Below are 26,738 nucleotides of genomic sequence, written 5' to 3' on the forward strand. Positions count from 1 at the left end.
TGTGGAAAGGGATAGACACATCTCAAATCACCAGGTTCTTGTATGCCACTGAGGTGTTTTGCTAATAGCTCAGTGCCAAAATTCTTCCCCTCTCTATTTATACCAAAGGAAAGGTGACAGGCACAAGAGAATACAAATATCTAAGAGCACTTGTCTTAGCACTCGTGGGGGAAGGAGGATGGCTCTGTATGCAAGTCTAGCCATGCCTGCTTCTATGCCTTGCTTCAGCTTCCAAACCTTGAGGAAGAAGACATTTCCTTAGGAACCCTGTGGGCTCTTCTTCCTGATAATCACATCTCATTTCCATAAAATTAATCAAACAAAGTGTTTTGGTTCAGTAAACTGTATACAACACACAATTTGAATTTCAAAATACAAATTTATATTAACTGACTAATTAAATGTCTTGAAATTCTTCTTGATTTCTGGGACATGGTGGCTGCACCTCACACAAAAATGTCAGTGCATATGGAAAAGCTTGAGGGATTGGAATAGTGAATGTTCCAATTGCTGAGACTATTAATTTCCTGCAAAACTGAAGGTTGACAGACAGAAAACACCTGGATAAAATTATTACTGGAAATAGTTCTCCATTTAAACATAAGAATGCCAACTAAATGAGTTTTAATACTCTGTATGTATTATAACTGTGCATTTCATTTGCATTTATCTGCAAAAATATGATAAATAATATAATCCTTAGATAATTACATGCCAGTGAAAAGTATGACAGTTGATATACATTTATACTGACATATTTTCAGAAGCCCAAAATATTATCAATCTCAACAGAGCTTTCGAACAAGGCTCACTTTAGTACAAGCTGTAACACAGACACTTTCAACAGAATATACCGACTTCTTTGAAAAGTGAACTAATCATTATTTCATTAAAATATCCAATTGTGTAGTAAAGACAATACATACGCTACTGATTTAGGTCCTACTGTTTGAATCAGACTACCAAAGTCAAGAGTTGTGTTATTAAAATGCAAAATGCCAGTAGCTCATATTTCAATGCAAGTTCTTTTCCATGATTTTTTTGCATTAATTTGAAGAATGCAAAATAAGCAGCTTTGAAGTTGCACATGGCCAACACACTTAAGTGTACTAAATCAATTCAAGAAAGAGTAACTCCCTCTTAAAATAATTGACTATATTGAAGGAGATGGGGGGTTGATACATGAGGAATTCAGCAGGAATTTTTGTAAGACAGAATCATAAATTTGGGTTAAAGGAAGAAATTGGGATTATGTGACTCTGGCTCTAATCATATAGAGGAGAAATTTTAATGCCAGATTATTTAACTACCTTTTCCAAGACCACACAATGGAAGAGTAGAATCACAGGAATGCGATGCACATCTTCTGACGCCTAGTTCGTGATTTGTCAAAAGTATAGTGTTTGCTTTGAGGAAGAGTATCAGCTTCTCAGAAGAGCTTACTAAGCAACTCATATGTACAAATACATCTTGGGAGATATATCTGTTGTTTTACTCACAGGAAACGGAATTTAGCCATGCAAAATGCATCAACATACTTCGTTTCCTCTTCTGAGCAATCCCTCCTGGAATTTTCCCACTCTCAGTGATCTGTAAGCCTACATTTTCTTGGACAATAAATTAATTATAGCAAGAGAGAAGCAGGGCAAGCTGCTTATGGAAAGCCGAGGCCTTTCTAGTCATAGAATCAACATTTGTAAATATATACACAATAAATTTGCCCACGAAATGATGTGCCATATGTCATTTTTGTTTCCCCATGACAATTTAATTTTATCAGTGATAGAAGAATGAGCCGTGAGTATACATGCTAAATGCTCAGTCTATGACCATTTTCATAATCCATGACACTAAAGGTTTCAATTTTATTGATCTTTTCAAAAAGCAACTTGGTTTAAGTTCATTTTCTCTGTTGTTTTCTCTATTCATCTCTCCTCCAATCTTTATTAATTCCTTCTTTCTGCAAGCTTCAGATTTAGTTTGCTCTTTTTTTATAGCTCTTTAAAATATATTAGGTTGTTGATTCAATATCTTATATTTTAATGTGATGGTTTACAGCTACAAATGTCCCTCTTGGCCCTGTTTTGGCTGCATCCTGTAAGTTTTGGTATGTTGTAATTTCATTTTCATTTGTCTCAAGGAAGTTTCCAATTTCCCTTGTGATTTTTTCTTCGATCTAATGATTGTTTAGGTGTGTTGTTTAACTTCCACATATTTGTAAATTTCCTAGCTTTCCTTCTGCTATTAAACTAATAAAAGCAAAATGTACAGTGAATCTTTTCGTTTTGTTTTGTTTTTGTTTTGAGGTGGAGTCTTGCTCTGTTCCCCAAGCTGGAATGCAGGGGTGTGAGCTAGGCTCACAGCAACCTCTGCCTTCTGGGTTCAAGTGATTCTCCTGCCTCAGCTTCTCAAGTAGCTAGGATTACAAGTATTACAGGCACCCGCCACCACAGCCAGCTAATTTTTGTATTTTTAGTAGAGACAGTTTCACCATGTTGGCCAGGCTGGTCTCAAATTCCTGACCTCAGGTGATTCTCCTGCCTTGGCCTCCCAAAGTGCTACTATTACAGGCATGAGCCACCATGCCTGCCCTGCTGCAGTGAATCTTGACGCCTCTCCTTTTTCCTATTTTTTTTTTTAAGATGGAGTCTCATTCTGTCATCCAGACTGGAATGCAGTGGTACGATCTCACTGCAACCTCCACCTCCCAGGTTCAAGCGATTCTCCTGCCTCAGCTTCCTGAGTAGCTGGGACTGCAGGCACACACCACCATGCCCAGCTAATTTTTTTTTTTTTGTATTTGTAGTAGAGAAGGGGTTTTGCCATGTTGGCCAGGCTGATCTCAAACTCCTGACCTCAGGTGACCTGCCCACCTAGGCCTCCCAAAGTGCTGGGATTACAGGTGTGAGCCACCACACCTGGCCCATACTACTTTAAGAAAATAAGCATAATTTCTGGAGATTCACCTAATTTAAAACAACCTAAAATAACTTTTCAGGTCCCTCCCATTTCCTCTGGCTTTTATTCACCATGGATATTAATTATTATTATTTGTTGTTGTGTGAGTACTAGTAATCAAAACCTTTAACTAAAATCTTTTTTAGCCCCTATCCGACTTATGCGGCATTTGCTCAGATGTGTTTTCATTATAGAATCTGGAATTATAAAACACAATAGTAACATTATTCTATATGTGATAAACATCACCCCTCAAAAAATCAAATATAAAAGGTGATCCTGTCATTGTGAGATTATTGAAATGCCCCAGGGTAGCATAAAGAAGAAGGCAGTGAGAGGGAGGCAGCCAGAAGTTCTGGGAGCCCTGCCATGCAGTCCAGGTTCCATCTGTGGTCTGGCCCCGTGGGAGGCTGGTCCACTCCAGGTTATGTGTTAGCATAGGTGCAATACAGGAAGTAGAACAAAAACTATTTATGCAGATAATGAGGGCAAAGAGTCCTCAGCAGAACTTCCCTTGTAACACAAAAAAACCCCAAGAAATCACTTCTTTTCTAACAAAGAGCAGCCTGGAAGATCGGGCTGCAAACATAGATAAGCAAGCTAGAAGCTTACACAGGGGGATGCCAGCAGTTGCACAGAGAGAAACGGCTACGTGGGGCCAGGCCGGTCCACCATGGGGCCCCACCTCTCCCCTAATCAGCACATGCACAGTAAGAAAGAAATGAGCAACATGCAGTAGCTTAGGCTGAGGACCCACCTGCAAAATAAAAGACTGGAATGGGGGATCCCACAGATTCATGCCCTATGCAGATGGCACACCTGGTCCTAAACAGTTTTTCATGCCCTGTCTAGATCAGATACTGCCTCATGATTAGCTCGTCTATGAAAGCCCCTACATTCCACTTTGAGATGGCAACATTTTTTTTCTGGGACTCCTCTCTGGAGTAGAAAGGTGTTCGCTTTGTTTCTCCTATGAAATTTCTGCTCTAAACCTCACCCTTAGTATGTCCGTGTCCTTGATTTCCTTGGGTGTGAGACCAAGAACTCTAGGTGTCAAGCCAGACAATGAGGCCACTTCACATGATTCTGCATGGTGTCACTGGCTGGCTCTTCTGGGACATCAGCCAGGGTTTTAAGAATCTCCTGGCTATTGGCACACATTTTCACACCAATCTGTGTGTGTATGAGCGAGTGGTGAGGATGGTGAGCTAGAAGAAAGATGGACTTGTGGCAACTCTCCTCCTCCTTCCTAAAACAGCTGTGTCTGACATTTCCTTGCCTGGTTTTTACCTCTCCTCCATATCCCAACCTTCCCCTCAGATGATCAGGACTTTAGATCACCTTATTTGAGAAATGGACGTAGGTTCAACACAGGATTTGATGAGTGATTGCATTCATGCCGTTTGGTGTTATTGTAGATTTACTACGCCAAAATTTTACATTCTATTACTCTGAAACTGATCTGCAATTATAATTATAAAAAATAATATTCTCATCCTTATTCCAAACAATTTGCTTAAAATAACACTTTCAGTATGTCATATCTATTGATCAATATATAGACAACATAATAATGGTGAAGACTGTAAACTTCTTGACATATAATCTATATCTGATTCACATTTGAAGTCATTAAAGCACACAGCACAATGACCTACAGAAAATATAATTTCACACTGAGATCTATTTTTTAATCAATAGTAAATCATTACTAAATATAAACCATGACATAGCACATATACTTTCAAAGTATTATCATGTAGAGTCTCATACAATCACCTCATTTTATACATTCCCTTCTACTCATAACAAATTAAGTGAATAATGTGTTTTAAGGGCAAAGATGTCTAAAATACTTTGAGATAAACAGCTCGTAATTCATCCAATGTACCTTTCCATCACCATCTTGGCATGAAGGAAAAGCATGAAAGGACTTATTTTTGCAGAGGAAGAAATTTAAAGATCAAATTCTGTGCCAAAAATTGTACACAAAGAAAGAGCACCCTAAAACCAGATGCCTATTTTCTGTATTTCATTATTTTTATTGATAAGGATAGATTACATGACATCTACCTCTTACAAATGTTTAAATGCCCAATATAATATAATTAACTATAAACCGAGATTGTACAGCAGATCTCTAGAACTTATTCATCTTACATAAGAGAACTTTATACTCCTTGAACAGTGACTCCTCATTTCCCCCTCCCTGATAACAGTGGTTTGACTCTGTCAGCGTCTATGAGTTTAACTCCTTTAGATTCCTCATGTAAGTGGAATCATGAAGTATTTGTCCTGTGAGCAGCTTACTTCACTTAGCATCATGTGATTCAAAGACATCTCTCACTACTATGTCTATAAAGCAGGTTCACACACTGCTGTTGAATGAGAATCTCAGGGAAGCCCTTGCTTCCCTGAATCCACTCATCTGCATCTGGAATCTCCCAGAGGCTCTGGGAGGCCCATGAGCTTCACTCCACTAACACTTATTTCACCACACGTGCCTCCACCGTGATGTATCATCCTGGAACTCAGTACTAAGCTCCAAGGTGCTTGAGGCATCTCTTTTACTTTCCTTACTCTTGTAACTATCACAAAACCTGGAAAACATGAAAGTTCACTTTTTTTCTCCCAAGTAGCTGTACAGTTAGAGATCTTAGTCTGTAGGTATCTACAATCGAAATCTTTCAGATGTATCAGCTCGTCATTCACCAAGAATCCCTTTGGTCCACCAATCACATGAACTCTCTAAGGATAAGAGGGCACATGAAACAAAATTTTGTTTTGGCAATATTTATATTTTAAATCTACTTTTGCGGAAGAAGAATATTCTATGAATAAAAGTCATTGCTTGAAGTTACTAGTTTTGACTTCCTTTGAAATGATTGTTTTAGTATCTGAGGCTATGAGAGCCCATATTCCCCGCTCTCACTCATATGCACTGTGAAATAACAAATACCCTTGAAGTAATTCCATCTCTTGGTGTTTCATCACTTACTCACTCCTGCAATGCCACGCCCTTTGCCTAGGTAGTCCAGAAGATCTGCATTCAATTATCTAACTCACTTATTAATCTTTCTTTTGAAAATTTATTAATTTCCTTCATCTTTACCTTGATGTAAGCTCCTTGGAGACCTGTTTTCCACACTCCTCTCAGTTCTCTTTAAATGCCGTGTTCAGGATTGCTTTGTAGACTCAGTTTAATGCCTCTTGATCTTCTCTCCTTTGTTTTGGGCAAAGTGCCTATCAGCATGTGAGGATCACACTTATGACACCCTCTCTCATGCTCAGCGATAAGTAGATATTTTTGGCTTTCTCAATTACAAAAAAAAAAAAAAAAAGAAAAACTTTTCAAAAATTAGTGTACAATCATTTACTTTCAGTGACTGATCTAAAAGTTGTGTTTCCTAAGGGCTTTTCTGCTAGATGTCAGTTGGTATCTTGGGAATGCCATTTCCATAGCCAAACAATTTTAGAAAACCATTGTGTACATCCTTTTTCATTCTTCTAGTCCCAGAGCCTTTAAGCAACAACTGCATAAGCATCCAGGTTGAGCATATGGCATCTTAAAGCTAAGATTACTTTATTTCCTTGTTACAAATTTCTCACACAACATTTTCTTTGGGTCACATTTTGGGAAACGTTGCTCTTTTGCCTAGATGTATTCATCAACCATCTGGGAGCTACTTGGTACAAATGGTTTAGTCCAGAATTCAAGTAAAAGATAGCCAGGGTTACTGTAAGACATGTATTTACTTATTTATTTATTTATTGACAGCATCTGGCTTTGTCGCCCAGGCTGGAGTGCAGTGGTGCAATCAGAACTCACCGTAGCATTCAACTCCTGGGCTTAAGCCAGTCTCCTGCCTCAGCCTACTGAGTAGTTGGGACTACAGGGTGTACCAACATAGTCAGCTAATATTTTTTTTTTTTAATTTATATAGAGACAGGGTCTCACCATGGTGCCCATGCTGGTCTCAAACTCCTGGCCTGAAATGATCCTTCTGTTTCAGCCTCCCAAGCTCTAGGATTACAGGCATGAGCCACCGCACCCAGCCACTGTGGGAAGCTAATGACAGACGACACTGAAATAGTTATTCAAGCTTTTGGCCGTACTTTCTATCTTTCTATATACCATGCTGAGTCACTATAGGAAGAACCTGAGTCCAGAGGACAGAAATGGAAATAAAAGTGTGAACCCTGACACCTGCAGCCTGACCTCAAGGGGTCTTCCCTCCGGTTCCATCCACATTGCTGCAAAAGCCTCCATGTTCTCACTTATAAGTGGGAGCTAAATATGTATGCACATGGACATAGAGTGTGACCTGTAAGACCACGGAGACTTGGAAGGGGGCTGGTGGGTAGGAAGAAGAAGGATGAGAAATTACTTAATGAGAAATAACTTAATGGGTATAATGTACCTTATTCAAGTAACAGATACCCTAAAAGCTCTGTCTTAACCACTACAAAATCTATGCATGTAACAAAATTGCACTTGTACCCCTCATTGCTTTTTTGTTAATCCAAGTAAACTTGATTTTAACCTTCAATTATGTAGTGCTTGGCAGTTCACACCTTCCCACATGCTTTGAAAATTCCCAAGGGCTGGATTCCTTGCAGTTTCCTCTCCCACCAGTTTTTGTATATGAAGTGTGGTATTTGGCCCTGTTGTAGGTAGAACTCTAGGCTGGCCACTAAGCTTCCCCCTCCTGGTGGATGCTGCTTCAAGGCTAGCAGGAGAAGCCCCCACCAGTCGGTTACAGTTATATGACAGAGGGCCATCCAGGGAGGGACTCTCCCAGCAACTTGAAACAAAAAGTGACCTCCTCAAGCCAGCGACCACGCTGTCATAGTCACAGGTCCTGGCCATACACAAGTAGAGATGTCCCCAAGTAGCTGATAAATATTATCATTGTTTTTATGATACCAAGCTGTGATATCCGGATCATCAACTGTCATTACATAGGAGAGCACGGGGCTTTCAGCAGACGTATCCAGAGCACTGTAGGTTTGCTTTTCAAGACTCGAAGCATCAATATTAATTTATAAATGAGCTGAGTTAATAAGTTTGTGTGTATGACAGCAACTTGTACTTAAACTAATTATTTTACAACATATTTAAAATGGCAGCCTGTGGCTTCAATTAATGTTAACACTTAAGTGAGGGTGTCAGAATTCCATGACCATTGATTCTACTACGTGCAACTGTAGAGGAAGAATGGGCTTAGAGTCAGAAAGCAGGTTCACCAATGGGCTGAGTGAAGTTGGGCCAGGTTTCCTCTTTGATTAATGGGGATTATGTTTTTTCCTCTCCAGGGTATCTTCGAGGATTGGCCTCCATGAGAAGGATGAGCCTGGTTCCTGGTAGAAATTCAGTACTTGGTAGTCACTGTCTCCATCATGAATAGTGTGAACAGAAACGGTAATTCAGAAGTGTGAGCTGTCACTACCATCTAGTGGCAGTGGTCAGAAGTGTAGGCACAGAGCAATAGGATCTGTGCCCTCAGAGCAGCCTCCCTCCTCCGGTCTTGCAGGTGGCAGGAGCCCCAATACCCAAAAGTGTCCATTGTGTGGAAGGGACTAAGTCATCTCTTCAGCACCGGGAATGCTGTTAGGTTTGTGCCATCCTTGGGTGTTCGGTCCCACGGTCCGTGTTCTGTGGCTCAGATAAGAATCCCAGGTAGAGAAAATTAAATCTAGTTTAGAAGGATTTATTGTACGATTGCCCTAGTCGTCAGTAGAGTCAGTATTTACTGGGAGCTTTCACATGCAACATTGTGCAACAATAGGTCAAACTCTTTTTTTCTTTTCTTTCTTTTCTTTTTTTTGAGATGGAGTCTTTCTCTGTTGCCGGGCTGGAGTGCAGTGGCACTATCTCAGCTCACTGCCACCTCCGCCTCCTGGGTTCCAGCAATTCCCCTGCCTCAGCCTCCCAAGTAGCTGGGACTACAGGTGCCCGCCACCACGCCCAGCTAATTTGTTGTATTTTAAGAGACAGGTTTCACCATGTTGGCCAAGATAGTCAGTCTCGATCTCCTGACCTTGTGATCCACCTGCCTTGGCCTCCCAAAGTGCTGGGATTACAGGCATGAGCCATCATGCCCGGCCCGCAAACTCTTGCTTATATGACTCATATTCCTATCACCTGTATGAGTTTTTATTGTTGTTTAGTGTACTTTTTTTATACATCATAAGTTATCATGCAACAGACACAAATACTACACCTGTTGCATTCCAAAAATTGATATGTTAGCTAATTGTAACATAATAAAATATGTAAAGTGATTTCCTCAGGAATTTAAGACATTGGTTCATAAATGTTTGGACAAACCCCCTAAAAGAATCCTTCTTTTAAACATTAATATTTGCATGTTTGTTTTAGATAGCTCTATTATTCTGATAATGTAATGATGGAAATTGTGTTTCCTTTAATGAAATTTATGTAGCATCATTTATTTCAGGCAAATTACATATATTCATTTACAATACTTTGTATTTGCAAAAATCATATATCACTTCATACATTATCAAGAATCAAAAGTTTTTAACTATTTTATTTAGGACAGTAAAACAAGAACACTTCACCAATTAAAGAGTCTCATCCATAGCACTTGGCACAAACTTGGTCAAATGTTACAGACACAATAAATACTTCTAAATTAATTCAGGAGCCTCTTCTCCCATATTTCATTGTTGATGTTCCTTTTACTTCTCTTGGATAGAGAATAATGAGTGTTTCTCCTATTAAAGTTGTTTATTCACTCAGGGTATCGTTTATTCTTCTATTTATCATATCCTCATTAGAGAAAGGGCTTTCCTACAAGACTGTGGTAAACCCTTTTATGCTAGATGTGCAGAACCTGATGGTCAATGACCCGATCCTATGCACAGAGTTTTTAAAAGAGTGTTTCAAGTTTATAAACCAAACGATTGCACATGGACTTCTAGATTTACATCTTTACTTGAAAAATTACATGACGGATCAACTACACCTTGCATTTCATTCCCACTAGCACCATCAGCTGGAACTGAGTAGCAATGGCACACCTGAGATGCCTCACCTGAGATGCTTCACCTTCAGTGGTGCACCTGATATGCTTCACCTGAGATGGTACACGTGCGATGCCTCATCTGAGATTATGCAACTGACATGCTTCACCTGGGATGATGCACCTGGGATTCCACACCTGGGCTGGTGCACCTGAGATGCCTCACCTAAAATGGTGCACTTGAGATGCCTCACCTGAGATGATGCACCTGAGATGCCTCACCTAAGATGATACACCTGAGATGCCTCACCTGCGATGCCTCACCTGAGATGCCCCACCTGCGATGCCTCGCCTGCGATGCCGCACTTGAGCTGGCTAACCTGAGTTGCCTCCCCTGTGATTGTGTGCCCACAAAAGTGAGCCCCATTCCCCACCACTCAACAAAGGTATAGAGCTTTCCTCTTTTTGTTGCCAGACTGGCCTTTTCTTCCTTAGCAACGTGGCATGGCCTGCCATCTTTGATTGCCCCTTTTCCGTCACGTGCACTTGCGATTCATCAGCAGTCACACAGCTCTACATGTATCCTACTCGGGAAGCCACACTTCTCCACTTGCACCAAGAGCCTGGTGGAAGGCAATGTCTCCTCTCACCTGGAGTGCTGCTGCGGTCTTCCTAAGTGTTCCTAGTTGTTCTCTGCTCCCACTCTTGCTTCACCTACACACCATGCTGCACACAGCCGCCAGAGCAACGTTTGTGAGACCCCAATGTCATCAAAGCATCTCCCTTCTAGAAATCCTGCAGCAGCATCTCATTGAAGTGAAAATAAAATCCAAACACATTAGGACAGCCTGAAACACCCAGAGATGGCCTCTCCTCCATCACTGAGCCACGTCTCTTACAGTCTTGCCCCAGTCCCTTTCCCTGCACCCGCGGATAGCAGGGACCGCTTGTCTTTCCCTTCCACATACCAAGATGTTCTGGCCGCAGGGCTCTTGCATTTGCTGTAATTTAGGTCTGGAAGGATGTTCGCAAGGCTGCCTCATGTGTATCATTAATCCTTCAGTCACTCTCTCCTGGGCGGATTTAGATTAAATGGTTGTCTTCCCCCTACTGCCTACCTCCCACCCCCAAGCCAATCCCAGCTCTTTCTCTACTCCTGGTTTTGCCTTCTGGGCAACACCTTTACTATAAGAAGTATATACATATTATTTGTTTCCAGGCTAATGCCTTCACCCATTAGATTATACATCATGATGACAGTTGGGTTTATGTGTGTTCTAATCTGCATCTCCAGAGCCTAAAACACAGCTACACATGTGCATTATATTATGAAGCCCACAAAGGTTCTCATTTTAAACGTGCAAGGAAAAGCGTGATTCAGAAGTTGTAACACTTCGCCAAGAATTGAAGCGAAACACAGCTCTGCCCCTCTAAATCCCAGCAAGGCTCCCTCCCCCATCCCTCACTGTTGGGTGACCTTGTCACCCACTAAGAACCAAATCAAGTGTGGGATAACAGTGTTTAAAATTAAAAACATATCACACATTGAAAACAAGAATCTCTAGCCCTTTCTTTATGATAAAAAAAAAAAAAAACACAAGAAAGAAAATGCCTACAAAAAAGGAAAGAAAACTCTAGACGTGTTAAGGTGCCGTGGAAAATCTGGTGGATAATTTTGTTCGACCAAACGAACTTAGAAAACGGCTTCCCTTTGAATTTAGACACAATTGCTTCATGGATAGACCATAACTTCTCTGTTTCCCATAAATTGTAGCTAGTTTGAGAAACAGTCTTCTAAAGCCTGCTTATATTTGCATCTCCAGTAAAACAGGGCTGCTTCTGTTGTGTCTGCTGCTGTGTGCACCACACTGCAATCTCTGATTGGCTCATAAATAGGCTTCTCTGTGATTCTAGTTGCTTGTAGACTTGTTTACGGTCACAGTTTCAATACTTGGAAATTAAACTGAACTGAGTGTAACACAGTGACAGTTTAGTCTTGAAAAAAAACCTTATTCCAATGTTTTAGGCTTATTAAACAATGAATTTTAACCAGCACTTCCTGATTCAACTTACTTGCAAAACAACCTCCTCATTTGGCAAACAGAGTTGAATAGGTGATAACTCTTCTTAGAAATACCTGGAAATCTTGCATCACAACAGTGCCCTATACAGAATCTCCTTTAAAATCAAGTACAGCTCAAGGTGGATTCAAGACTTAAATGTAAAACCCAAAACTATAAAAACCCTAGAATAAAATCAAGGCAATACTATTCAGGACATAGTCACGGGCAACGAATTCATGACAAAAATGTCAAAAGCAATTACAACAAAAGTAAAAACTGACAAATGGGATCTAATTAAAGTAAAGAGCTTCTGCACGACAAAAGAAACTATCATCTGAGTGAACAGACAACCTACAGAATGGGAGAAAATTTTTGCAATCTATCCATCTGACAAAGGGCTAATATCCAGAATCTACAAGGAACTCAAACAAATTTACAAGAAAAAAAACAAACAATCCCATTAAAAAGTGAGCAAAAGACATGAACAGACACTTCTCAAAAGAAGACATCCATGCAGTCAACAAACATGAAAAAAAGCTCAACATCACTGATAAGTAAAGAAGTGCAAATCAAAACCACAATGAGATCATTTCATGCCAGTCAGATCACAATTATTAAAAAGTCAAGAAACAACAGATGCCGGCGAGGCTGTGGAGAAACAGAAACTCTTTTACACTGTTGGTGGGAATGTAACTTAGTTCAACCATTGTGGAGGACAGTGTGGTGATTCCTCAAAGATCTAGAACCAGAAATACCATTTGACCCAGCAATCCCATTACTGGGTATATACCCAAAGGAATATAAATCACTCTATTATAAAGATACATGCACATGTATGTTCACTGCAGCACTATTCACAACAGCAAAGACATGGAATCAACCCAAATGTCCATCAATGACAGACTGGATAAAGAAAATGTGGTAGATATACACCATGGAATGCTATGCAGCCATAAGAAGGAATGAGATCACGTGCTTTGCAGGAACATGGATGAAACTGGAAGCCATTACCCTCAAAGTAATGCAGGAACAGAAAACCAAATACTGCATGTTCTCACTTATAAGTGGGAGCTGAACAATGAGAACACATGGACACAGGGAAAGGAACAACATGCACTGGGGCCTGTTGAGGGGAGCTGGGGAGGGAGAGCATCAGGATGAATAGCTAATACGTGTGGGGCTTAATACCTAGGTGATGGGTTGATAGGTGTAACAAACCACCATGGTTCATGTTTACCGAAATAACAAATCTGCACCTCCTGCACATCTATTCTGGAACTCAAAATAAAAATTAAAAAAATATGAGAATAAATTAAATATATATAATAAAAAATAAAATAAAAATAAAATACTCTAAAAATGGGTCATGATTTTTACAGGTAGACGTTCTTCACTAATCAAATTAATCAAAATATTTTATTTGGACACCCTATAATTAGTACTAGTTCAGAAAATTCATTTTTCTTTATCAACAATTAAAAATTATAAAATATTATATAAATATATATAAACAAAATAATATCAACTACAGCTGTTCTTTTTAAAAAACAAAAAATTTGTGCTGGGCATGATGGCTTGCACCTGCAATTCCAACACTTTGATGTTAGGAGTTCGAGACCAGCCTGGCCAAAATGGCAAAACCCCATCTCTACTCAAAATACAAACATTAGCTGGGCGTGGTGGCTTGTACACCCAGGAGGTGGAGGTTGGAGTGAGCCTAGATGGAGCCACTGCTCTCCAGTCTCGGCAACAGGGACTCCATTTCGAAAAAAAGGAAAAAATATTTGTTGTTAATTATCTACTTCCACCTATGTGCACCCGTATTATTTATTTTACTGTGCTCTATAGTCTTTAAAAAATTCAACAGAGACTCTTTTATTTCCTATGGAAATCCCTTTAAAGTTACATTATTACAAAATACTTCAAAACTAAGAGTCTTGCTTGACCTTAATATTGATACTTACCTCTTATTAATCAATGACTATTTGTGACATACTGTCATAAATTCTTTACTCTTTTATGTCATCTGAAGATGGTTCATTCATTCAGATGGTTCATTCAGAATCTTCAATCATTCAGATGGTTCATTCAGAATCTTCAATTCTGAAGATAGGTAATTAGTTATTTTATTTTACAAATATATTTTAGCACCTACCCTGTTCCAGATACCGTTCTACGATTGGATGTGCGTTAGGGAATGAAACTGACAGTCTCTGACCTTGCTTTCTTTCTCAGGCAGGGAAAAAGCAATAAATCAGTGACTACATCCTGTGTCAGATGCTGGCAGGGACTGGGAAGGAACACGGAACAGGGTTATAGACAGGAAAGAGCGTACGTGCTGTGAGCAGGCCTGGCCTCCTTGAATTCTATGCTGTATGGAGATACATAGGAGGTAACACAGGACAGTTCAGATGTGTTTCTCCCCCTATTCTTGCTCAAATGTCTCAAGAATAACTGTCAAATGTGCTGGGGATGCTGTAGGTTGAGGTAAGAAGGAGCTGAATGGAACAGCTTGGACTCTCTTCCAGTCTTTCCCCAGGACAGGATATCCTTCGATGCTTTAGCTAAGCAAGATCCATAACCCTGGGGTACAAAGCCCAGGGAGAGCTGCTTTCCCGTGTCCCTCAGCTACGGTGCAAGTGGGGCTCATGCGGTGGAGACACCGTCCTCCCCAGGCAGCTCTCCTGAGACTTGGGGGACCCGCTGGCAGTGAATATGGGGCTCCTCTTCCTCCCTGCTGCCCATCTGTGAGTAAAATCCCACTTCATGGCACCTGCTGTTTGTGGGTGTGTTCTGTCTCGCTGGGCTCAGACAAGTTGACAACCAGTGCAAAGGGAACCTGCTTCATGCATCGTGAGCAAATCTGTGCATCCTGAAGGATGATCCCAGACAGAGAGAAGGACAAAAGTCAATACCCTGAGACCCAGGCATGCTTGATGCTTTTGAGAAACTGGTAAGTCTTAGCAGCAAGGGAGGTGGGAGAAGCCCAGGATGTGACGTAGAGCAGAGGTGAGGCATGTTTTACAGAGGACATCGGAGAACATTATTAGAATAATTTATGTTTTTAGGGAGTGAGGTGAAAAGTCACTGGGGATTTTGAGCAAACTAGAGATATAAACTGACTTTTGAAAATAATCACTCGTTTCTGTGTTGAGAACAGAATGAACAGGGGCAAGTGCAGAAGGGCAGAAATGAGTTAGGAGAGATTTGCAATAATCTAGGCAAGCAGTGATGATTGCCGAGACTGGCAATTAACTGTGGAAATGGGAGGATGGCTGGATCCCCAACATGATGGAAAATGAACAGAGTGTATGGGTCTGCTGATGAATGTGGGGTATGAGAACAAAAGAAGGATTAAATATAAGTATAATAATTTTCAGCCTAAATAACTGAAAAAAAAAAAGAATTGCCATTTTCTAAGAAGAAAAGAGTGTGAGAGGAACAGGTTTTGTAGAGGAGACCCAGAGTTTGCTTTTAGACATGCTGTGTTTGAGATGTCTGTTGGACACTTAGTGGAGATGTCATGTGGACAATTCACTGTTTGCAGTCTGAGTTCAGAGTCTGAATAGGAACATTTTGGTAGAGGTTAGCAGATGGATTGTATTTGAAGCTGCAGGATCAGAGTCAGGACAGATGAAGAAAATGAGGATGTGGAGGACCCTGAGAACTCCAGTGTTTACAGGAAGAGACAGGAAGTGGCCAAAGCAAAGCAACTGAGAAAGCAGAAAGAGTCAGATAGGAAGGGGATCAAGAAGCAGAGTCTAAGTAGGTAATAAAACAGTCTTCCACAGGTGAAGTGTCCAGTGCTAACCACAGGCCAAGGTGTGAGAGGTGTTTGAACCAGAGCGACTCCATCTTGAGTGAGGGCTTGGTAAAACGAGCCTGGGACGTGCTGGGCTGCATCCCTAGAAAGTTATGTATTCCTAGCCTCTAGAGGTTCATGGTTAAGGGAAGAGATTGATAACGTTTACTAAACAGACCCAAAATTAAAAGTGCCCCGACATCCTGATACCTTGAAAAAAGAGCGTTCTTAATTTTGCTTTAAAGAAAATAATATAGATTCTTGCAAAATATAGTAATTCAGAAAATTAATCCTTTATCACAAACCCTTGTAGCAAAGAACATCTCCCCTGATCTTTTTTCATCCTATATACGAACAAGCATTTTACCTGGGATGGAGGCGTTCTTTCTCTTACTCTCGGGAACGCCTTACTCTGTCCATGGAGTAGCTTGCTCTTTCCCAGTTGACGTTCTGAATAAACTTGCCTTTGCTTTTGCACTGTGGACTCGCCCTGAATTGTTTCTTGCATGAGATCCAAGAACCCTCTCTTAGGGTCTGGATTGGGATCCCTTTCCAGTAACAAAGGCGGGGGCCCTGGGAACGGACCGTCCAATCTGACAGCTTGGCCACCACTGCAGACTTGCCTGGAGCTATTCAGTGGGCAGGAGCCACAGAAGCTTGACTAGACGGGGTTCAGGGAGACCAGGATGCTGGGTGGAGACAGGGAATGGAGCCAAATCTTAGAAATGTTGTTTGCTTTTCTCTAATGAGAAAAGATATGAAGACAAGCAGGAGATGACAAGACACGTGCTAGTCCAAGATGCCTTACAGCTATAGTAAGTAAAATGTCAATATGGTTATTTCTATGAATTAATACCAACTTAATGTTTAATCTGAAAGTATCTTAAATATCTTAGATCTCTTCTTTCTCATGTGTCAACTTGATCCTTCATTTTTGTTCCTTTTATGAAATTTCTCTCAGGGAAATTTATCAGGACAGTATAAAGTTAATTTCAAATATGGTATTTCCTGAATACAAACTTTTCCATGACCTTAACAAAGTATAAAACCTAGGACAGGTATCAAAGCAGATCGTCTCTCTCTTTCTCCGTCATTACTTGCAATCTATTACAGTAAAGGACTCTACACTTAGCAAAGAGCAGGAGGTAGAATATTGTTTCCATGTGTCTGTCTATATGTGTATATATGTATGTGTCTATGAACTTTTCTGATTTAAAGAAGGACATGGTCTTCATGATTTTCAAAGTTGCTTTTATCCCTAGAATTCTCTATAGTACTACATAAACTGGTAGCTTTATTCCAATACTTAACATATTCTTCTACAAAACAGCTGTAAAACATAAACAGCCATTGTGATGTCTGATGGTCCAAGGTGGCCATTTCTGAAAAGCAGGTGCAAAACAGAAGGTAAATTTTCCAGGCCTAGGTCTACAGACAATTTTGAAGAGGTGAGTGATAAAGAATCATACTGTTCGGTATAATTTCACCACTCTAATGTGATGTAGACTACAAATGAATCCTGTCTTTACCATGAAGGCTACTTATCATGGGCTCTCCACTGCCGTAACCCAAGTTGAGCAATTCAGGTGCATCATCAGCGGTGGACAACTTACAGACACTGCCTTTGGCAAAATTGAGGACACTTAACTGCGAATCACAGCCATTTGACAAGTAATGGTGCTGATTATTTTAAAGGGCTACTGGAATCTCAAATACAGATAAGCTTTTGTTAAAAAAATAGTCACATTCTGTGAAAAGGCTCAGGAAGCAAGTTATTTAGTAGCAGAGTCTATTGGCCACAAAAAGCAAAGTCAAGCAGTTGGTGCAAACTTAGTGATGTAGCAATAAAATTATAGTGAATGCATAGTGGGGAATGCTAGGACAGGGTGCAGTGGGAGAAACTGGAAAGGTTTAGCTCCTAAGCCAAACAATTAGTCAACATATTGATGAGTCACATGACACTGAGAAAGATTTCTCTAATAAACCAAAATGCAGTTTCTCCATCAAGTTGACATTTAACAGCCCTTGCTAACAAATGTAAATAGCAGTAAAATCCAAGAAAATATGTTTTGCTGTGCATAGGTGTCTCAACTAAGCAAAGGTCATCATGTATTTGTTTGTCTTCATATATGGAAAAAAACACTTCATCTTAGAGAAATTGTGTAAGGTTCTATGCAGATAGTGCCCTCAATGGCTGGCCACGTGAATTTTTCCTCTATTATTAAAAAAAAAATCCCAGTACTTTGGGAGGCCAAGGTGGGGGGATCATGAGGTCAGGAGATCGAGACCATCTTGGCAAACATGATGAAATCCCCATCTCTACTAAAAATACAAAAAATTAGCTGGGTTTGGTGGCATATTCCTGTAGTCCCAGCTACTTGGGAGGCTGAGGCAGGAGAATCTCTTGAACCAGGGAGTCGGAGCTTGTGGTGAGTCAAGATCCTGCCACCGCACTCCAGCCTGGTGACAGAGTGAGACTCCAAAAAAAAAGAAAAAAAAAAATCCTGATACTGTCACCATACATTGTTCTCCTCACAGTACTGAGCAATTGTCAAAAGTTTTGAATAATACTGCAAAATGATTAACATTATAAAACAAAAAAAAATTACTCATCAATGGGTAAAGATTGTATAAACAGCTGGACAAATCTTCAATCAATGTAGGAATTACTGAAGATAAAAGGAGCTGCAGAAATCAGCCTGCACAGTTGTGTTTCATGACATGAACTTTTTGAACAGGATTCTGCAGCTCCCTGAAGAACATCATTTACTTCCAGTGATGTTATTACTGAAATGAAAGGGAAGGTGAAATATTGGAAAAACGATGTTGCAAGGGAAACTGTGAAAATGTTTCCACTGCTGCTTGAGTTTAGATGGAGGGAGGATATCAGAGGTCTTGAGCTGTTTTGAAAACCTCCTGGAAGAAGGGAAGAGCAAAACTGAACAGCGTCTCCCCTCCTGTCCACAGATGTGGGGCTGGTCAGGGCCCCTTCTCTGAATCTGCTGTTTAGCTGGAGACCTGACTTAGACAGCAGGACCAATAACGTGGGCTACAGGTTGGCCAACCCTCATGCTGCCATTCACACAGGCTCCTGGACAAGCTCTGGGCTTGGCAAAGATGAATACCTTGTCTTACACAAGAAAACAGGGCCACATGGCTTTGACTTCGGCCTTAAATAAGTGAGCAAGCCTCTTCTTGTGTTATGAGCACCAAGAACAAAGACAGAAAGTCATACTCGACAAGAAAATGAAATGAATGTGTGCTTATTTCAGTTTCTAAGTGAGAATGTAAAATTTGTACGGTCGAAAAATATCAAAACCATTTAGTTTCCACACTGAAGAGGTAAAACTGATTCAGTTTTTAAAACACTACTTCTTGTACATATACAGATGTATAAACGGATCAGTAGGTCAATGATTGTCCGTAATGTTTTCCAACTTCTGAGCATATATTTATGCCTGATCACGTCTCTCAAATAAGAAAATATTTTTCCAAAGTCTCATACAAAATTGAGTTTTAGGCTTTATTTTTATTTACATTGCTTTACTATTTAAATATTAAGTTTACTATTTTGTATTGTTAATAAAGTGGGTTTGTAAGTAATATTAATTTAAATATACTACAACCTTTCTTTGGAGTTAAATCTACTAAGCCTACCTATATGAAAAACAATAGATCTTATTTTGGCTTGAGCTAGTTATCTAATAGAAATGTGTTGTGTTTTTCTTGTTGCTCTTTAAGATTTATGAAAAGAAAATAAAATGATTAAAGACATGCAAACAAAGTTTTTTAAAAGGAATTTCGCTAGGTCATTTTTTAAAATGTCATTTTAAGAATAAGAAGTACTCCTAAAATTACTACATGCACCATGCCATATCCTGATGTCATAAAGTAGAAATTTGCGATACAACTTCAACCTATTTGGATATGGTAAAGAAAAAAATAACTAAAAGAAAGGAAATGAGTTTATAAACTTCCTGGAGAGGGGTAACCACCCCATGAAAGTAGGACAGTATTTTGACCAAAATAAATAGGTCCACCAAAAAAAATACCGTGCTCAGAAGAGCACTGATAATTATTGCTGTATGACTCTATCGGTACATGTAACAATGTTATGGGGGGTTCCTGCAACCTAGGATTCCTTTGCCTTCCTCAAGCCACAAGGGCTGATGGAGCCATCTCAGTGCCCAGTTCTGCCCTTCCTCACTCTCTGTAGCCCTTGTCTATTTTAAAATGCTTATTTAATTATTATTTTTTATTTCCATAGGTAATTGGGGAACAGGTGGTATTTGGTTACGTGATCGAGTTCTTCAGTGGTGATTCGTGAGATTTTGGTGCACTTATCACCTGAGCAGTATACACTGCACCCAGTTTGTAGTCTTGTATCCCTCAACCACTTCCCACCCTTTCTGCCTGAGTCCTCGAGGTCTACCCTGCCACTCTTATGCCTTTCCATCCTCATAGCTTAGCTCCTGCTTGGAATGAGAACATACGATGTTTGGTTTTCCATTCCTGAGTTACTTCACTTAGAATAATAGTCCCCAATCTCATCCAGGTTGCTATGAATGCCATTAATTCAACCCTTTTCACGGCTGAGTGGTATTCCATCATACACACACACACACACACACACACACACACACACACACACACCATGGTTTCTTTTTCCACTCATTGATTGATAGGAATTTGGGTTGTTTCTAAAGAGTAAGCCCGGCCAAGTTGTTTTCATGCTTAACCACCTTCTCAGGTTTCTAAGCCCTTTCAGAGCAAAGCCACCCTTGCTAGGAGGGCAGGCAGGGTGCTCCCTGGGCTGGGTCCCGCTCCCTACCCCGAGTCCACATCCTCCCCTTCTCACCTGGTGGTCACACACACTAAGTTCTCGCGTGTTCCTGTGCCTGTCCTGTCTTAACTCTGCTCTTGCAGACACCCCTCCCAATATACCTGGGTTTCCTCACCCTCTAGCCTTGTTTCAAGGAAGACCTGCTCCTCGAAGCCATCCCTGATATCAACCCCACTTCCCTCTGCTGAAGCCTCCATCTCAGAGCCACACATTGCCATGCAGATGCCCGCTTCCATGTTTGCTTTGCTTCTAGATTGGGTGTCTGCAAACTACAGCTCACGGTCCACATCCAGTCTGTGCCTGTTTTCTTGGTAAAGCCTCATAAGCATGGTTTCTATGTTCTGAAAGGGTTGTGGAGACCACAAAGGCGAAGTGTGCCAGTGACTGTGTGTCCTGCAAAATCTAAACCATTTATTATCTTGCCCTTTACAGGCAAGCTCACCAGCTTCTGTTCTAGGCCAAGTGGTCTCAGATAGACAGATCTAGGCCTTATTCTACTCTGGCCTGATGATGGGAGGCTATGCTTTGAATGTTTATGGCCTTTGAGGCTCACATGGAAACTCAGCCCCTCATGTCGCAGCAGTGAGAGATGGGACCATTAAGAATAGCTTGGGTCGTCAGGGCTCTCCTTTCTTGGATGGATAAATTCATTCATGGATGAATGGATTAATGCATTAATTTGTTAATGAATTACTGGATTATTGTGAGAGTGTGGCTTTTTAAAAACAGGAGGAGAAACCTCAGCTAGCATGATGGGAGAAATCTAGGAGAAATCTAGCTAGCCCCCTTCAACACTGGACGCCGTGTGCTGCCTTGGGCCTCTACAGAAAGTTCCCACCAGCAAGAAGGCGATCCCCAGATACAGTTCCTTGACTTTGAGTTTTCAGCCTCCACAACTGTAAATAATACACTCCCTTTCTCTATAAACCACCCAATTTCAGGTATTCTGTTACAAGCAACAGACAGTGGAGTAACATATGCTCCAAGTGTAACAAATGTAATTTGAATAAATAAGTCAACAAGCAGATTTATTGAAAGAAAATTCAGGCAATTGAAATAATTAGGTATCTTGGATCTAGACATAAAGAGTTAATATATGTGTTGCTTATGTTTTAATGACCACCTTCTTACATTTAACTCTGATTTTTCTTGTTTCATATTGAAAATCATTCTAAGTAAAAGGCAAGAAAAAAGAAAGCAAAGCACAGAGCCGATAAAAAAGTGTCCCATTGGGATCACCCATGCACGTGGCCTCAAAATCTAGGAGCCATGCTTCACCTTTTGATCCCGATTCTCCCATATGCAGCCCATCAGCAGGCATTCCAATGTCTCTTCCTTTAGAATACATCCTATGTCTCACCACCTGTCACCAGGCCACTATGGCTGCCCTCTCCTGTTTTCTCCAATAATTCCCACCTTTTTGGCATTTCTTGGACACAGCAAACTCATTCCTACTCCAGGGCCTTGACCCCGCCTGGACCAATCTTCCTCCTTCCCCATCTTCACAACCTCCAAGGCATGGCTCAGCAGACAGCCCTCAATATAATCTTTTAAAAGTTTTTTAATTGACACATGGCGGCTGTGCATATCGATGGGGTGCACAGTAATGTTTCCATACATATAAGGTGTAGTGATTCACTCAGGGTGATTAGCACATCCAGCATCTCAAACACTTATCTTATGGGTGCATCATCCCTAAGTTCCTTTCTCTGACCTCATCAGTCTCCACCCCTTTGCCTAGTGCTGTTTCCTTTCTTACTGGTTTGCTTTCCTTAGCTGCTATGACACCTGAAATCTTGCTATTTGTTTGCTTGCCTATTTTCCACTTTGCACCTCCTTGAAAAGAAGCTTCATGGCCAACCAGGCTTGCACCACATATTCCCACATCCTTCCTGGGTCACAGACAGGCACCTCGTGAATACTTGTTGGATGGAAGAGTAAATATATGGGTAAATAGGGTGTATGCAATATGCATTCCCATGTTGCCAATCTCTGCTTCCACTCGAAAATAGGAGTATGGCATCATGCAAATGTGTCTCTGCTTTTCTCTCATCAGATGACAAACCACTACTCAACTTGAAGTGAACAGTCAGACCCCTTTCTCAAAACTCTCCAGCAATGCATTAGTCAGGATCAGCCTAAATCTAAATGTAATTGCCACTCTCACCATGCTGTGAGAGCTCATGGCAGAACAAGGTAGCAGTTAAGAGAGTAGACTTGACCTCTTTGTGATTCAGTTTTCTTATCTTTAAAAAGGAAACACTAATGTAGCCTATGGCATAGGGCGTTCAAAGATTCAGTGAGATAATGAACATAATTACTTAAAGTTTCTAAAGCATGTAAATTTCTCAAGAAATATTAACTAATATCTTGTGGCATATTTTCTGTACTACAGGACTGTCATATCCAAACTCTATATCAATATGTGAATGTTTTGAAAGCCAACACACACTTTAGAGTTTGTGAGTCATTGGTTTTAAGCCTAAGAGTAGATGCAGGGGGTAAATGCTTTAGGTTGCAGTAAACTGGAATTAACTAATCTGCACACTGACAGCTAAGGAGAAAAGAACATATTTTACCAAATACATAACTTTTATTGTGACTGTTTGATAAGACCCTTTACGTCCCTAACCACTGCTTCTATATTGGTAAAGCTCTCTTTTCAGAATTGTCTTCTAATAAATATGTATATATATATATATATATTTTTTTTTTTTTTTTTTCTGAAGATACATTATGTTCTTTCCGGTGCTCATTTAATACCAAGCCAGTGTATAGTTTCTTACTCTATGTAATAAAGACATGACTGATGATGAGAAATAGTCATTGTAGTCTGTCATATCACTTGTATACTAAAGTCCGTGACAAGCTGCGATAATATGATGTTCTCTGTAATGTGATCATGCTGAGTGTGACATGCAGTACCTGCATCAGTCTAGACGTGGCTTTAGCTACTGAAAGATGAGGCTGCCACTGTGTCTTTAATGTGATCATGCTGAGTGTGGCATGTGGTACCTGTGTCAGTCCAGACGTGGTTTTAGCTACTGAAAGATGAGGCTGCCACTGTGGGAGCTGAGGACTGATAGGGATCTCACAGTGGCAGAAACAGGAACTCGAGAAGTTTCATAGCAAATGTTTAAAAAATAGAGATTTTGCAGATGCATGTTCTGTATTGTGAAAACAAATGGTAAAATTCTTTGAACAATGAGAGGAAAAAATCTCCTTTACATGGAGGCACTTTGAATTCATCCCATCTTCTAAGAGAAAGAGGTGAGATTTTCTGCACAAACAGAGTACTGTCTGTGGAAAAGACAACATTCTGATTTAGAAAAAAGGGCTGAGGAAATTACAAAAAAGTGTATCGACACAGAAAGCTTGAATACTAATCTAAATATGCATCATCCACATGGCATGAAAAAATAAGGTCAGCTTATTCTCTTTTTTTTTGCATATTTCTAAATTAAAGAAAACTAAATCTCCATGACATTTTGTAAGCATTACATGCTAAAATAAACAGTTCATAACAATTTGTGTATTTTTAAAAGGGATTGTTGTTAGGCAGTTATAAAGCTTCCTCTGACCTGTGATAACTGCCTTTCTATCTCAGAAAACATTGCTAAAGAGACTCAAAAGTTTTTTTGAATTGGATTAGCCAAGATAAACATAAGGTGGGGGGCATTGTGGTTATGCAAATATAAGGTATTTTAAGGAATTAAGAGGACTCAAGTGTAACGCGTATGCTACAGAGATCCTTTCTGTTGCAAGAGTATTCACATCAACATTGTTCATATACTCCATTTGGGTCTGAAGTTTTAGACTACGAAATTATCTACGTAAAGTATGCTTTTAGTTTATATGAATTTTATTGACACAAGAACAGTTCTGCTTTTTAATACAGAAGACTAAGAACCATTTTCATTAATTTTAAAATTGTATAATTTATATTCTTTTAAATTAAGTTATAAAAGATTTACTTGTTTAATACAAAAGTAAATTCTTCCACTTTCTTGATAATTAATGGAGATCGGAAATCTGTTATAATTTTTGATAAAACACAGAGAAGATTTATATTTCAGAAATAGTTCACCACATATTTAGACCTGTCACGTACTGTCTGTCAATTACTGGTAGTTTTGCAGAAGAATACTGAAGAGTTCAATATATTCAAGCAATAAAATATTATTCTTAAAACCAATCAACCAACCAGCTAAAAAATAAATTGTGGACAAGGAGAAAAAAAAAAAGAAAGGAAAGACCTACTCTGAATATCTTTCATCAGTTTCAGGCTGTGCTAAATGCAATGTAATATCACTTCATGGATTTATGAGAAGATACCTAGGTAGGCTTTCAGTAATGTAGCCATAGTTCGGAGCTGCAGGCACACCGTCAGCACACGCTTGGTGAAATGGAGACATGAGAGCCAATTTCAGGAATTTTTATAATAATTTGAGAAGTCATTAACTGCCTTTTTTAGATAAATTGTTTCATGAAACAGACAGAGTGTGACAGACCCAGCTGATTCATGATCTCATCCTATGTCTATTCAGTTCCTCAGTTTCTTCCCTACTATGAAAAAAATTTGAAGAAGATATTCCTAAGACAGCTGCGTCAAATCAACCATACTGTAGAAGCAGGATTGCTGCCGTGGCACAGACTTGGAATATCCAACAATTACAGCTCTACCTTTTATCAGAACATAAACCATAACTGTGATGTCCCTCCCAGCATTGCTAATGACAGTAAAATCTTGAAAACAACTTGACTCTTTGTTAACTTGGGATAGGGAAACCAATTTTAGTAGGTCCATAGTTACAAATATTCTGAAGACATTAAAATATGTGAAGTAGACATATAAATTAATAAATCTAGAGAGATGTTTATGTTTTATTAAGTGAAAAATAGGCAAATAATTTCACAGAATATTTATAATATTTGTATCACTCTTGAAAAGGACTGAAAACACACATATGCCAAACACGTACACATACATATCCACAACAGTCATATTTAAATGGTCATGTAAAGGCAGACTTCTACGTAATGGGGCAAAACAGAATGTAATTTGTACATTAGGTGATGGAATTATGGGTGAAATTTGCTTTCTCTAGGACTGATTTTATTTTTCAAAAAAAATAAGTAAACATTATAGTTTTGAAAGATGGGATGTGGATGTGTGTGCTCGTAGCTTATATTATGCGTTCTTCATGACTGTATTTAATGCATGTCTAAGCTCATGCCTTTTATACAAGTGAAACATACACAAAAAGAAGGTAGACAAGAAGAAGTTTTTAATGGATATAGCCATTTAAGGCAAAAAAGATTGTGTTTTTCTTTATAAGAACAGTGAAAAGACAAGCTGATGAGAAAACACATTTGGAAGTGGTAGGGAATATCTTAAATGGGTCCAGACCAGTTCAACATGAAGTCAGAAGAGTGAGAAATAACTACAGAAGACCTGCTGGCTGGCGAGGGCTGTGAACCAATTTGGGATTGAGGAGGAAGACAATGAAGCCCCCTCTGGGGGTCTGGGGAGAGCCTGGAGCTGGGGGAGCAGAGAACAGGGTCACAGACACCCCACATTGAGGGGAAGGGAGGGTGGAAGGGAAGCAAGGCCACATAAATGTGGAATTGAGATAATTGGTACCCCCAGCTCCTGCTCTGTTGGAAGCCATGAAGAAGCTACAGCCCCTCTAACAAGGCACAGCATGGCCAGGCCAAAGAGGATCTGAGCAGGTGGGAGAAATAGCCCATGAATGGCAGCACCTTAGTTTTCTTGAGCTTGTTAGAGTTTTTTTTCTCAGCCTGGCTTTGTTAATCAGAATGTTGAGAGCTTCAGAACTTCCACAGAGGGTCAATACTTCAGAGCGGGGGAGGGAGTAAATCTACAAAGTAAGCAGAAGAGATTTCAACAGTGTGTCAAGTGAGCTGGGTCTGGGCAGGCCAAGAGTGCTGTGTGAACAGCCAGCAGGCAGGGAGCCCCCTGCAGTGGTGAGAGTGTCACTGAAACTCAACAGTAACCTGGCAAGCAGCCACACAGGGCAAGTGGGTCAGGGGTGTTAAAGAGAAGCCCAGACACCTGGGCT

At 40.1% G+C, this 26,738-nt stretch overlaps 1 protein-coding gene across 3 annotated transcripts in view, besides 1 other annotated feature; it reads right to left on the bottom strand.

The window, feature by feature from the left end:
• The window catches only part of CSMD1 (CUB and Sushi multiple domains 1), a 2,059,554-nt gene that overhangs the window by 592,876 nt on the left and 1,439,940 nt on the right, over positions 1 to 26,738 (bottom strand). The gene's annotated exons all lie outside the window — the stretch shown is intronic.
• Positions 10,253 to 10,753: an enhancer, noted in NCBI's record as "H3K27ac hESC enhancer chr8:3396011-3396511 (GRCh37/hg19 assembly coordinates)". NCBI's record gives its function as "activates a minimal SCP1, AML or CMV promoter by ChIP-STARR-seq in naive H9 embryonic stem cells {active_cell/tissue: H9 hESC(naive)}" and the evidence as "EXISTENCE:reporter gene assay evidence [ECO:0000049][PMID:30033119]".

The sequence above is a fragment of the Homo sapiens genome, chromosome 8 (genome assembly GCF_000001405.40).
Source record: "Homo sapiens chromosome 8, GRCh38.p14 Primary Assembly".
NCBI classification, from domain to species: domain Eukaryota; kingdom Metazoa; phylum Chordata; class Mammalia; order Primates; family Hominidae; genus Homo; species Homo sapiens.